Raw genomic sequence first — 15,350 nt, 5'->3', positions numbered from 1 at the left:
CGCTGTGGGGCCATGCCTGGTGGAGATCCACCACGTTAAGCCTTCTGCTAACTGTTTGTCTCTGACTCCATGATCTCTTCTGCCTCTTCCCATTCTGGATTCTGCTCATGGTGGGCGGCTAGATGGGTGTATTGCATGTGGCCGCTCATCTCAGGTTGCTGGTCAAAGCTTCCTGTTTATATTTAGAGAGTGTAAGAAGAGTAAGAACCCTTTTATTGCCACTGACCCATATTCATATTTAATGTTGCTTGTGTTAGTCGGCTCCTCATTGGTTCTCTTTTTGGAAGCAAGCAGGGACTTAGAGAGTCCAGAGGAAGCTCAGAGGGCTGGAGCTTTAGTTCAGGTTGGCTGAGGTGCTTGTTCTTAATTCTTCTGTGACACCATGTCTGTCTCAGTCACTGCATTTTTAACATTGTTTTGAAAACATTTCTCGGCCAGGCGCGGTGGCTCACACCTGTAATCCCAGCACTTTGGGAGGCCGAGGCAGGCAGATCACCTGAGGTCAGGAGTTTGAGACCAGCCTGGCTAACATGGTGAAACCCCGTTTCTACTAAAAATACAAAAAATTAGCTGGGTGTGGTGGCGCACGCCTGTAGTCCCAGCTACTCGGGAGGCTGAGGCAGGAGAATCGCTTGAACCCAGAAGGCGGAAGTTGCAGTGAGCCGAGATCGCGCCATTGCACTCCAGCCTAGGTGACAAGACTGAAACTGTCTCAAAAAAACAAAAAAACAAAAAAAAAAAACAAAAAAAAAAAGAAGAAAATAAAATAAAACATCTTTCTCTTCCACTAGAGGTGAAATTTCTCAAGGACAAAGAGATTTCTTAAGGGCAGAGTCCTGTTCTGTGAAGCCCACCCCTAGCCCAGAGTGCTGCCCGCAGTTGGTGCCTAGTGAGAATTTGTGGAATGGAGCAAGCACAGGACTCCTGTTCACTGGCTGCTCTCACTCCTTGCTATAGTTGGGGACCTCAGAGGCTACACTTACTCATCACACCAGTGATGAGTCCCCTCTTCTTAGGAAGGAAACTAGAACCAAGACCAAAATTACAAGGCATCATGTGTTAGTAAGGTTGTGGCTCTGTGCCAAAATGTGAACTGTGTTTGATTTTGAACGGTGGGAATATGGGTGGTTGTTATTGTCTTCTTGATGCTTTTCTGCATTTTTCAGCTACCCCTCAAAACAAATTGAGGAGGATTATCATTGTCCCAGGAAAGACATATAATGAGAAGAGTACTTATTGAGTATTTACTGCATGCCAGGCACTGGGCCGAGCCTTCTAACAGTCAGTTGAAACAAGTGCTATTTTGCTCATTCGCTTGATGAGGAACAGAGTCTGTGTGATGTTAAGCAGCTTGCTGCAAATCACAGAGCTGGTAAATGGAGAAGCAAGGGTTTGCATCCAGGTCTGTCAGAAGCCCAGACATTTTCTTGTTTTTTTTTTTTGTTTGTTTGTTTTTTTGTTTTTTTTAGTGACAGGGTCTTGCCCTTTTGCCCAGGCTGGAGTGCAGTGGCGTGATCATGGCTCACTGTAATCTTGAACTCCTGGGCTCAAGTGATCCTCCCATCTCAGCCTCTTGAGTAGCTGGGACTACATGTGTGCACTACCATGCACAGCTAATACAAACAAAAAATTATTATTTCTTTTAAAGATGAGGTCTCACTATGTTGCCCAGGCTGGTCTCAAACTCCTGGCCCCAAGTAATCCTCTTGCCTTGACCTCCCAGAACACTAGGGTTACAGGCATGAGCCACTGTGCCCAGCTCTGCATTGTCACTCTTAATATTTGACCCAGCAGTTCAGCAGTTACATAGTAGAGGTGATTTTTAGAAGAAAGATGAAAAATAATATAACAAGACAGGTTACCACGTGGTCCACCCTAGGTATATGTCTAATTCCGTCCCTAGGTGTATATCTAAGAGAAGTGGAAATGTGTGCCCACACAAGAGCCAATACCTCAATGCTCATAGCAGCATTCTTCATACATCCCCAAAGTGGAGACAGCCCCATTGTTCATCAGCTGATGAATGCGTAAATAGAAAGTGGTGTATCCGTATAATGGAATATTATTCGGCAATAGAAAGGAAGGAAGGTTTTGAGTTAGACAGAGGGCATGGTTGTGTAATAACTGTGAATGTGCTAAATGCTACTGAAGTGATCAGTTTAAAATGATTAATTTTATGTTATGTGAATTTCACCTCAATTGAAAAAAAAGGATGAAGTTCTGATATTTGTTATAACAGCTATGAATCTTGAAAACATTATGCTAAGTCAAAGAAGCCACATATGAAAGATCACATACCTTACAATTTCATTTCTGTGAACCATCCAGAAGAGGCAAATACAGACAGACAGAAAGCAGATTGGCGGTTCCCGGGGGCTGGGAGAAGGGTAGAATAGGGAGGAACTGCTGATAGAGATGGGGCTTTTCAAGGGGTGATGAAAATGTTCTGGAATTAGCTAGTGGCGACTATGTGAACATACTAAAACCACCGAACTGTACACTTTTAATGGGTGAATTTTATGGTATGTGAATAATATCTCAATCAAGCTGTTATTTAATATATACAAAAGTAATATAATAAACAAATACAATTCTTCTACTTGGAGACTTTCCAGCCTACTGTTGCCTAAATCTAATAGTGAGGTAATAAATAATAATAATCAGAGTTACTGTTTTCTGTGTGTCTGCTATATGCCAGGCACTGTTCTAAACACTTAGCATTTTTGCATATAAAATCAGCTGTGGATTAGAAAGCAAGGAGTCTGGCTTCAGATCCCACAGTCTTAGCTACTCTGCTGTACTGCTTTACGTATAAAGACAGATACATCATAGAGACGAGAGTGTGAGGTAGAGGCTGAGAACGAGAACTCAGGAGTTAGGCTGTCTGGGTTGGAATCCTAGCTCTGCCACTTACTTACCAGTTGTACACTCTTGGGTGAGTTACTTGACAGACTAGAGCCCTAGTTTCCTTATCTCCAATGTGGAGATTTTAGTAAATCCCCCCTCGTAGGGTTTTCACACAGGGTTCCCTCATAGCATTTATAGATGAATTATCACAAACTCTGAGAACAGTATCTGACATGTAACTAGCACCCAATACATGTTATCTTTATTACTATTATAGGGTTACTAAATAGAGACTGAAAGAGCATAAATTCAAGTTGCAAACTCTCAGTTAGTGAGCATTTCAGGTTGAGCTAGCATCTCATTTGCTCACAGAATTGTGGAGCTGGAAGGGACATTGAAAGACCATCTGCTCTAGCAGGGGAATGTCTAATCCAAGGCTGGCATCCTCTTCTTTTATGAGGGATGTGTGTGTGTTTGTGTGTGTACCTGTGAGCACACCTCCTAAGAAGGATATGCTGTCTCTGGCAGGAAAACAGCAATTCAGGAAAGCACTCAGAAGGGACCAACTGTGGCTCCCAGCCAAGAGACTTTCCTAAATCATAGATGCTCTGGATTGACAGGGACCTCACAGGGGATCCAGGCCGGCGTCCCTGTCCCTCTGCTTCCCCCCAGCACTTGGTGGTTTCCATTGGCATCTTCTCCTCCCCTCTACACCCCTGCACAGGGCCTTGTCCTCCTATTGAGCTAAGTCTATCTGACACCTGTGGGAGCCCAGCCTTTATAGAGGCAAGAACACAAGACCAGCCATCGGGGCTGCCCTTGCCAAGGCTTTGCTTTGTGTCTCTTGAATCTCTTTTCTTGAGTCTCTTTTCAGCCTTGGAAATTGAGACCCTTGGACGTTGTCTTATCACCTTTGAAGGCTATACCATGGGGCTGGGTTGTCAGAAACTTACCATTATAATAAAGGCTTTCTGGTACTTTCAGTTATAAACACCCCTGTGGGTCATGTTATGGCAAAGCATCAGGGTGTACCTGTCCCAGGCCTGGCTTCCAGAGATGTGGTTGAGATAAATGAGGAAGCAGTGCTTAGAGTTATAGTACATAGTTCATGTCATTATATTTTATAGTCTTTTCTTGCATTACATAGCTTTATAAGAAATTAATTTCCTGTCCATTTCAATGCAGTTCAAAAAAATCAAAATATTTGTTTTAGCTGTTAGTCTCTTAGACTTGTACAGCTCAAGGCAGTATCTCAGTAGTTCAACTCTTCATGACACAGACAAAGAATAGGAGGCCCAGCGATCTGGGGAATTGCCTAGGGTGATGCAGTTCTTGGTAGGAAAGAAAATCAGCACCCTAAAGTTCTAGACTTTGATTTCTTGCCTTTTCAATTTGAAATTCATTTTTGTTGTCATTGCTGTTATTGAACACTGAATAGGCTGCTGTCAACAGCTCAGTGAGACAGGAGATTGTGAGCAACACTTTGTAGTCAGATAGACCAGGGGTCGGAACCTGGCTTTATCATTTACTAGCTGTGGAGCCCTTAATTCAGTCTTATCTATAAGGTGGTGTTAACACCTTCCTCTCAGGGTGGCTGTGGGAATTAGAAATAGTGCCTGTCATATCCCAGGCATAGTGCTGGGTGCTGAGTAGGGCTTTGATAAATCAACCTTTATTATTATTGAAACTGAAGTCTTACATACCCAGATAAGGCTCCTAGCTGAGGGATCTCAAATCTAGACAGACCTGAAAGAATTTGGGGTGCTAACCCCTCAGTGATCACTGAATTTTCAGGCAATGAGATGTGTAGCTTTCTCCACGTCCTCAGCCAAACTTCCAGAGAATCTACAGGCCTTGGGGAGAGAAAATAGCTCCCTGTCAGAGGTATTGAGCCTGAATCTTTCTTTTTTTAAATTAAATTTTTTGTAGAGATGGGGTCTCACTATGTTAGGCAGGCTGGTCTCGAACTCTTGGGCTCAAGCAATGCTCCCACCTTGGCCTCCCAAAGTGCTAAGATTACAGGCATGAGCCACTGCACCTGACCCTTAATCTTGATGTGAAAGGAAGCAAGGAGTGGAGAGTCCGGTTTGTTATACTATATTCTGTTAGTTACATCTACATAGAACAGTTCAGAGGCTGGGCATGTTTGAGCTTTTAAAAGTATAGAGGGTCCTCAGCCTGCTACTCAGCTAGCTGCCCAGCACCCCTCCCCGTGTGATGTCCCATTGGTCTGCTGGCTTCTGTCTAGCACCTTTGCTTTCCACACTCCACCCTGTGCACTCAGCAGTCCTTGTTGCCCCTCTAGGACATTACCCAGAGCAGATGCATTGGCCCCAGCTAATGGGCTCCCTTATAAGGGGCTTCCACTTCTGACTCCTGCATGGACCTTGGGCAAGTCACTTAACTTTTCTGAGACTCTTATTCTTTTCCCACGAGATAGAGAGGAGAATAGTACCTATTGAACAGGACCAAACAGGCACATGGAAGGGGTTTGAAAGCAAGTGTAATTATAATTTTATCATCATTAATTTATTTAAAATGTGTTACCTAGGCTGGGGCCAGTGGCTCATGTCTATAATCCCAACACTTTGGGAGGCCAAGGCAGGAGCATCTCTTGAGGTCAGGAGTTTGAGACCAGCTTGGACAACACAGTGAGACACTGTCTCTACAAAAAATAAAAATAAAAAATAAAAAATAAAAAAATAAATAAAAAGAAATTAGCAAGGTGTGGTGGCATGCACCTGTAGTCCCAGCTACTCAGGAGGCTGAGGCGGGAGGATTGCTTTGAGCCCAGGAATTCAAGGCTGCAGTGAGCTGTGATTATGCCACTGTACTGCAGCCTGGTAGACAGAGTAAAACCCTATCTCTTAAAAATAAAGTAAAAGGTGTTACTCTTCTTAGAAAGGGCATTTCAGAAGTGAGTTTATCTGTGGGAGCGCTCTTGTGTGGCAGGGAGATAAATTTTGGGTTGCGTGGCAATTCATTGTTCTTTAAATCACACAACTCAGTCAGCCACTTTTAGCACTCATGCTTTACAGCTGGTCATGGTTGGTGAGAAAGCACTGAATTTCCACCCTTTTTGTACATCACTTTAACTTTGGAGATGTAGATCTTATTGAGATGTTTACTAGGCATTGCTGTCATACCACTGTTTTTCAAGTCTGCTTTTCACTTATTTTTGTCAGGCATGTCTCTGGAAAAAAGAAAATAAGTAAAAACATTATTGATGATAGCTTCCCAAATTGACAGTACATCATCTGACATTTTAATGGGGACCAATTTTGTCCATGACCTCAGGACTCTGCTTCTCAGACAGTGTTGATATGATCCTGGACACTCGAAAATTTATAGACCAGTCCAGAGGGCCTGTAAATAGCTTCTGACAGAGAGCTAAATTTTCTGGAACTGAGCTGCATAGGCACAAACTCACTGTGATAAATCAAGACTCTGCCATTGCTCTGAGATGTGTCCATGGAATAAATGTGTACATGGAATAAATGCCATAGCATGTGGGAGAGGGAAAGGAACAATACTTAATTAATTTAATACCTTAAAGGGCCTTCTGCTCAAGAATGGACTTATTGCTAGGAATCAATTTGCCAGCTGAGACTTTGAGTGTCCACATACCTGCCTAATTAGAACATGAACCCACAGGAAACACTAGTTTCTCCTCACTGTGGAGGATTAAGTTGTGTAGCTGGTTTGAATCTTCTTACTGACCATACATGACTGTGGATTGCTGCCCTAGATGATTGGTTTTCAAGTATTTTAAGAACATGATAAAATATAGATGATAGTAAAATTATGTTGAACTGGATTTGGCCTTTCTTTGATTCACTGGCTTGGCAGGTCTCTGAGAGCCTTGGTCATTTTCATGAGCATTAGTGGTCAGAGTCCAGCCTGAAGCAGTACAAAATGCCTAAAAGTACACTCAATTTTTCCTGACCCTTTGACATACTCTGGGGAATTAGTTTTTTAAATATTAAATCCCTGATATCAACTTGCACAGTATTCTTGCTTTTCATATAAGCAGAAGGCAGACTATGAAATGATCTATCTCTTTGTGTTGTTTTTGGTGGTTTTAATTTTGCGCAAGTGAGCACTTAAAGCATATTTGGGAAGGTAATGCTTCCAAATCTGCGATTTGCTTTTGAGTAGCTTTGGAACTATTCTGGCAAATGGTGAATTTGTTCATTTTATTTATATTCTCTTCCAATGAAAATGTCAAGAGGTTATAACAGTTCACACTAGAGAGAGGCTACTTATTGATTATTTTCAATTGCATAAACAACATTGGTGCTAACTGGAAAGAAAATGAATATTGAGAACCTAGGCTGGAGGGCCATTGAAAGTTATTAGAACCGTATTCCTTATTTCAGAAAGTTTAGTAAAGACGTGGATGGTAAAAATAGACCTACATCAAATTTCTAGAGATGAAAACTACCATGTCTGATATGAAAAGTACACTGGATGTGATTAATGGCAGATTAGACATTGCAAAAGAAAAGATTAGTGAACTTGAAGACATAGCAATAGAAATTATCCAAAATGAAAGAAAGAAAAATTATTATTATTGGCCAGGTGCGGTGGCTCATGCCTGTAATCCCAGCACTTTGGGAGGCCGAGGCAGGTGGATTGCCTGAGGTCAGGAGTTCGAGACCAGCCTGACCAACATGGAGAAACCCCATCTCTGCTAAAAATACAAAATTAGCCAGGCGTGGTGGTGCATGCCTGCAATCCCAGCTACTCGGGAGGCTGAAGCAGGAGAATCACTTGAACCTGGGAGGTGGAGGTTGCAGTGAGCTGAGATTGCGCCATTGCACTTCAGCCTGGGCAACAAGAGCGAAACTCTGTCTCAAAAAAAAAAAAAAAAAAAAGAAAAATTATTATATTTTAAGTGGAAAGACCATAAGTGATCTGTAGGACAACTTCACATGGCCTAATATGTGCGTAAAGTCCCCTAAGGAAGGAGGAGGGTGACATAAACATTTTTGAAGATAAAATGGCTGGATGTTTTTCAAATTTTATGGAAACTATAAACCATCAGTTCCAGGAAGCTCAACAAAGCCCAAGCACTTCATAATCTAAATTACTCACAACCAGTGATAAAGATAAAATCTTAAAAGCAGCCAGGAAAAAAGACATATTATATACAAATGAACAAACGTAAGGGTGATAGCAGAATTATTGTCAGAAACCATGCAAGTGAGAATACGGTGAAGCAGCACCTTTGAGAGTAATGGAGGGGGAAAAAAGCAAACTGTTAACCTGAATTCCATACTCCATGAAATTTCTCTCTAAAATTAGAGCTAAATTAAGTATTTTCAAGGCAGATAGTAGCTGAAAGAAATCAGCAGGAGCAGAACTACCCTACAAGAAATGTTGATACCAGGAGGAAATATGAATTTACACAAGAGAACAAAGAGAGCTGGAAATTATAATTTGGTGAATATACAAGAATTTTTCCTTATGATCTAAATGTTAAAAAAATGACTAAACAAAAATAATAACCACATAGGGTAAGGTTTTTAACCTGTGTAAAAGTAAAATGTACATAAGATAATAAAGGCTGGGAGGGGAGAAATGGAAGTATGTAATTGTAAAGGTCTTATACTATATATATGTGAAGTAGTATAATATCATTTAAAGTAGGAGCTGGGCATGGTGGCTCAAGCCTGTAATCCCAGCACTTTGGGAGGCCAACATGGGCAGATCACTTGAGGTCAGGAGTTCGAGACCAGACTGGCCAACATTGTGAAACCCTGTCTCTACTAAAAAAAAAAAATTAGCCATGTGTGGTGGTGTGCACCTGTAGTCCCAGCTACTGGGAGGCTGAGGCACGAGAATCGCTTGAACCCAGGAGGTGGAGGTTGCAGTGAGCCAAGATCGCGCCACTGTACTCCAGCCTGGGCAACAGAGTGAGACTCTGTCCCAAACAAACAAAACAAAGTAGACTATGCCAAATTAAACCTTGAAGCAATCACTGATATGGAAAATAAAAATTTTAGTGACTAAGCCAATAAGTAAAATAAAATGTAAAAATACTCAAATAGATGACAGAAAAAAAGGAGAAAAAGGAAAAATAGAACAGATGGGACAAATAAAAAACAAACAGCAAAGTGGTAGATTTAAACCTATCTGTTTAAAAAATTACATTAAATATAAATGATTTAAATACCCTATTTAAAAGTTAGAGATTGTCAGATTGGAAAAAATAAGCAAAACTCAACTCTGTTGTCTACAAGAAATACACTTTAAATACCAAGACACAATAGATTAAAAGTATAGATTAAAAGTAAAGGGATGATTAAAAGTAAAGATTAAAAGTAAAGGGATGAAAAAATTTAAATGCTAACACTAATCAATTCAAGGCTGTAGTATCTATATTAATATCAGACGAAGCAGGTTTTAGAGCAATGATGTCAATCCATCAAAAGAATATAACAATTCCAAAGGTTTATGATCTTAATAACAGAGTTCTAAAATACATGAAACAAAAACTGATAGCACTTCAAGGAGAAATAGGCAAATGCACAGTTATGCTTGGGGATTGCAATATCCATGTTTCAATAAATGATAAAACAAGTGGACAGATGATTGGTAAGGATATAGATGCCTTGGGACAACACAATATACCAACTTGACCTAATCGACATTTATATGACATTCCACCCAACAACAACAGAGTCACATTCTTTTCAAATGTAACATTTACCAAGATTGACCATATACAGGGTCAGAAACAAGTTTTAACAAAATTAGGAGACTTCGGGTGTGTTCTCTGGACTGTGTCAGAGGTCCTGAAGACTACCATCAGGCATTGATATACTGGAAAGACTCCCATAGCTTAGAAAAGCTGTTATACTCATGGTTACAGTTTATTACAGCAAATGGATACAGATTACAATCAGTAAAAGCAAAAAGGCACATAGGGCAGAATTCAGGAGAGACCAGGCTCAAGCTTCTGGTTTTCTTCTCCCAGTCGAGTCCTATAGACAGTGCTTAATTCTCCCTGCAACGGAGTGTGACAGTACTTTTGAAATATTGCCAATCAAGGAAGATTACCTGAGCTACCTTGGTGCCTAGGGATTTTGTTAGGGGTCAGTCACATAGGCATGGAGCACCCATGTTACTGACCTTAGTCAGTCTCCAGCCCCTGCAGAGATCAGACTGATATAGCATGGCCCTAGTCCTCTGCCATTAATAACATTGTTAGCATAAACTATCTGGTATGGCTCAAGGCTCCAAATAAACAAAGACACTTGTCAGGTAGGATATTCTGAGGGCTTAAGAGTTTTTCTCCCAGGAACTGGTAAGGGCCAGTCCTTCCTTTGGAATGTACAGGGTTTGAACATCCCAAGGCTCTAAGTCAGCCCTTTACTGCACAGATCATGATGGAATTAACTTGGAAATCAGTAAAAGAAAGACCTTTGGAAAACTCCCAAATATTTGGAAACTAAATAATACACTTCTAAAGAAGAAAGCAAAAGTTAAATTAGAAAATATTGTGAACTGAATATCAAAATTTGTAGGATGCTGCTAAAGCAGACCTTACGGAGAAATTGCTGACACTAAATACCTATATTAGTAAATAAAAAGGTCCAAAATTAATAATTTCCACCTCAAGAAACTAGAATAGGAAGTGCAAATAAAGCCCAATGTATTCAGAAGAAAGGACATAATAAAGATCAGAGTGGAAATAAATGAAATCGAAAACAGAAGAAGGATAGAGAAAAATCAATGAAACCAAAGTCAATGAAATCAAGGAATCTTTACTGAGAATTTCAGTAAAATTGATAAACCTCTGATATCAGGAAGAAAAGATAGAAATTGCCAATTATCAGGAATGAGAGAGGTGCCATCTACTAAAGATTCTACAGGTACTAAAGGATTATAGAATATTATGGACAGCTCTATACCAATAAATTTGACAACTCAAAAGAAATGGACAAACTATTTGGAAGATATAAACTACTAAAGCTTACTCAAGAAGAAAGAGACAATCTGAATGACCCTATATCGAAGAAATAGAATTTGTAATTGAAAAGCTGCTCATAAAGAAAACTCCAGGTCCAGATGGCTTTACTGGTGAATTCTATCAAACATTTAAGGACAAAATAATATCAACTCTACACAAACACTCTCAGAAAATCGAAAGAGAGGGAATATTTCTCATTTTATGAGGTTGGTATTTACCTAATATCAAAACCAGATATGGAGGCATTTGAAGGAAACTTTAGGCAAATATTCCTCAGAAACATAAATGACAAAATTTGAGGCCAGGCACAGTGGCTCACACCTGTAATCCCGGCACTTTGGGAGGCTGAGTCGGGCAGATCACCTGAGGTCAGGAGTTCGAGACCAGACTGGCCAACATGGTGAAACCCCATCTCTACTAAAAAAAAAAATTGGCCAGGTGTGGTGGAATGCGCCCGTAGTCCCAGCTACCTGGGAGGCTGAGACAGAAGAATCTCTTGAACTCAGGAGGTGGACATTGCAGTGAGCCGAGGTCGCACTGCTGCACTCCAGCCTGGGTGACAGAGCGAGACTACATCTCCAAAAAAAAAAAAAAGAAAAACAAAAATTGAAGGCAAATTTTAACAAATCAAATCCAAAAATATAAAAAAGGATAATTCATCTGGCCAAGTGGTATTTTTGCTGGGAAAGGAAGGTTGGTTTAACATTTGATGATCAGTCGATGTAACCACATTTAAAAACTAAAAGCAAAAAAGCTATATGATTATCTCAATGAACATGGAGAAAGGATTTGAGCAAATCCAACATTGATTCTTAATAGAAACTCTCAGCAAAACTGGTGTAGAAGGCACCTTCTTCAACCTGGTAAAGGGCGTCTAAGAAAAACTTATAATCTCAAACTTAATGCTTTCTGACTGAATGCTTTCTCCCTAATATCAGGAATAAGATAGGGATATTTATTCTCACCACTTCTTCTTCTTCTTCTTCTTTTTTTTTTTTTTTTTTGGGAGACAGGGTCTCCATCTATTGCCCAGGCTGGAGTGCAGTGGTGCAGTCATGGCTCACTGCAGTCTCAAACTCCTGGGCTCAAGTGATCCTCCTACCTCAGCCTCCCAAGTAGCTGGGATCACAGGTAGGTGCCACCACAGCTGGCGGTTGCTGTCACCCCTTCTATTCAGCATGGTACTGGAGATTCCTGCCAGTGCAATAAGGCAATCAATAGAAATAAAAAGCATCCAGATTGAAAAGGAGGAAGTAAACTGTCTATTTGCAAACAACATGATATTCTACAGCCATCTTCTGGCCCTCTAGAGCAATATTTAAAAATGAAGCCTTATGAAAAAAAATTCACTCAGTTTTTGTGTCTGATATTTTTTTAAGGACTTTGTTTGGAGAAGCTGCCTATTTCTTCTTCTACCAGTAATCTCCATGTGGACCGGGAACAGGATGTCATCACCTGTTATGAGAAAGCAGGGGACATCGCACTCCTGTATCTCCAAGAGATAGAAAGGGTAAGTGAGGACCACGTGTTTGTTCCTGATAACTTTTTCCCTCAAATCAGATAGTGGACAACTGAGATTAATCTCTAGGAAGCTTTCAACTTGTCTGTCTCTGTGTGCAAAGCTTTACTTGTACTCCTTAAAGCTAAGGAGAGTGTGGTAGTGATTGCTGTAGCTTATGAAAAATAGATGGTTGGGCCAGCGTGGTGGCTCACACCTGTAATCCTAGCACTTTGGGAGGCTGAGGCAGGTGGATCTTCTGAGGTCAGGAGTTTGAGACCAGCCTGGCCAACATGGTGAAACCCCATCTCTACTTAAAATACAAAAATTAGCTGGGCATGGTGGCGGGCATCTATAATCAGCTACTTGGGAGGTTGAGGCAGAATTGCTTGAACCCAGGAGATGGAGGTTGCAGTGAGCCAAGATTGCACCACTTCACTCTAGCCTGGGCCATTGAGCAAAACTCCATCTCATAAAAAAAAGAAAGAAAGAAAGAAAGAAAAATAGATGGTTCAGTGTTTGTGAAGCATTTTAGCATCCTCTGAGCAGAAATGACAGTGTGCATCTGTTCATACCTTCAGCACCCTGAAGCTGGCCAGCCACCCCTGTCTTCCTAATAAAATGGGTTGAGCTTCATTTGTACTTGTATGGACTCTGTGCCAAGACCTGTTCATCTGGGGCTTGGGAGGCCTTACCTTGACAGATATGGCAAAGGTGCTGGGGACGTGGACCGAAGTAGACCGAGCTGAGTACATCGGGTATCCCCGGAGACCATCAGGGATGGTCTCAGCCTTCAGTGCTTCGCCTGTGGTGTGGGTGATGGAAACGAGCAGCTGACAAGAGGGCCTCTGAGCAGAGAACGAGTGAGCTCGGGGTTCTAAGCTCGCAGCCTCAGACAGAGGAGGTTGGAGGCTGGAGGCTGGATGGGGCCAGGGAGGTGGAGGCAACATGCCTGTTTCAGATTCTCATCTTTGGGTTCTACTCTTTACTAAGTTTCTTCACCTCTCAGCCTCGATTTTTTCCGTCCATAAAAAGAACATAATCATAGTTCCTACTTCATGAAGCTTTTGTGAGGATTACATAAGGTCTTGTGAATAAAGGCACTTAGCCCAGATTCGTGAACATATTGGATTCTTGGTAAATGTCACTTATTTTTATTAATAACAATAGCTCCTAGCAGTTGCTGTTGCTGGCAGTGTTTCCTGGAGTTCTCACCAAGGACACTGCTATTGACCCCTTCAGACCCAGAGATGTACCCTACAAGAGTGTTTGAAATGATTAGAAATCCTATGAGACTTTGAAAATGATTGGAGGTCTTGTTTTCCAGCAATTTTCTGGGCTCCTTGTTTTTGTAAAGATTAGAATAGAGAGAGACTGCCAAAGTCTCCCTAGCTTTTGTTACTTTATAAATGAACAGACAGGAAGTAACTTTTTTTCATAAATCATATTGTCATGTGTTGGTGCATATGATATGCATCAGAATTGCCTTTTTAGGAGGCAGGGAGATTAGAGTGAGAATCACAGCAGGAGAGGTGGAGAGAGTGATGGGAATAACATTTGACCTGGCCTCAACCAGAATGGATTATAAGCCATGGTTTAAGATATCTGGGAATTCAGGAAGATACATGTCTGTCTTGCCAGAATTATGTTCTATCAGAAGGTTGCTATGAGAAGAGAATTTGTTGTTGTTATTCAGAATTTACGATATGATCTTTAAAGGAATGATCATCCAGGCTCCTTTAAAAACCTCCATTATTTCCACTGTCTGCCTCCTTGATGGACCGTGCTTGGCAGTCGAGAAGTCTGCTTATCCCATCTGAGTTGTTCCAGCTGACTACACAGCCCTGGCCACTTAGGGCCCTATCTTGCTGCTTACTCTCCACTGTTGTCCAGCCCTGTCACTTTGGAGCCGTCTTCTCCCGGCTGGGAGAAAGGAGGCTCATGTGTTACATGTGTCTGTAGTGATGTAGGAATTGGTAGATCTGAATACACTTCTGTTATGTTCACTCACAACACCCCATTCAGTGCTGGGTTCTTCAGCAGGAACATCAAGGAGGCTTGTATAGTCGTAGGATTTAAAAGAAATCCTTTTCTTTGATTTTGGGGAAATGGTGATCATAAGATGTTGGATTTTGAGAAGAAACTTGAGGTCTAGAAAGGGAGAGCCCAGGCACACAGAAAGTTAGGCCAAAACTAGTTTTAGAACTCCACTCACACGACACCTAGCTTAGTGCTGGCTCACTTTATTCTCCCAGGCTGCTGCAAACAAAGAAAAAGCATGACATTTCTCCACACTCTTACTTAGAGAAAGTGCTCAATAAGGCTGGGTGTGATGGCTCATGCCTGTAATCCCAGCACTTTGAGAGGCCGAGACAGGAGGATCACCTGAGGCCAGAAGTTTAAGATCAGCCTGGTCAACAGAGTGAGACCTTGTCTCTACAAATGAAGAAAGAAAGGAAGAGAGAAAGAGAGAGAGAGAGAAAGAGAAAGAGAAAGGAGGGAGGGAGGAAGGGAGGGAAGGAGAGAGAGAGAAACAAAAGAAAAAAAAGAAAGAAAGGAAGAAAGAAAGAAGCGAACGAAACGAAATGAAACGAAACTAGCTAGGCATGGTGGCAAGTGCCTGTAGTCCCAGCTACTTGGGAGGCTTAGGTGGGAGGATTGCTTGAGCCCAGAAGTTCGAGGTTGCAGTGAGCTATGATTGTACCACTGCACTTAAAAAAAAAAGTCAATAAATATGTTTTATTTGACCAAGTAAGCTTTAGCTTTTGGTAGCATTTGGGAAGCAGCTTCTTTAGCCTAAGGTTAAATCTCAGCGTAGGTACACGATTTTCAAATTTCTGGCTCTGATTTTCAAATTTCTGGCTCTGGCGTTTTCTTTTTTGGAAAACCAGTTTGGACCTCCCCAGATTTCAGCAAGCTGAGATATTAGCAATGAGAGAGATTGAATGAACCCAACATCTGTTTTGACTGTAGTAAGTACTCAAGAAACTAACTGTTGATTAAGCAGAAGGCTAGCGAGGAGAATAA

The 15,350-nt window shown here is 41.3% G+C and overlaps 1 protein-coding gene across 3 annotated transcripts in view; it reads left to right on the top strand.

Moving 5' to 3' along the window:
• Nucleotides 1-15,350, top strand: part of TTC7B (tetratricopeptide repeat domain 7B) — a 291,867-nt gene that overhangs the window by 59,304 nt on the left and 217,213 nt on the right. For all 3 annotated transcript variants that reach the window (NM_001320421.2, NM_001010854.2, NM_001401365.1), the window contains exon 4: nt 12,205-12,335. In NM_001320421.2, the coding sequence (NP_001307350.1) occupies nt 12,205-12,335 (131 nt within the window). The remainder of the gene's footprint in view (nt 1-12,204; nt 12,336-15,350) is intronic.

Source organism: Homo sapiens, chromosome 14 (genome assembly GCF_000001405.40).
Source record: "Homo sapiens chromosome 14, GRCh38.p14 Primary Assembly".
In the NCBI taxonomy this organism is placed as follows: domain Eukaryota; kingdom Metazoa; phylum Chordata; class Mammalia; order Primates; family Hominidae; genus Homo; species Homo sapiens.
Note: the sequence above shows the minus strand (reverse complement) of the source record. Positions and strands in the feature narration are given on the sequence as shown.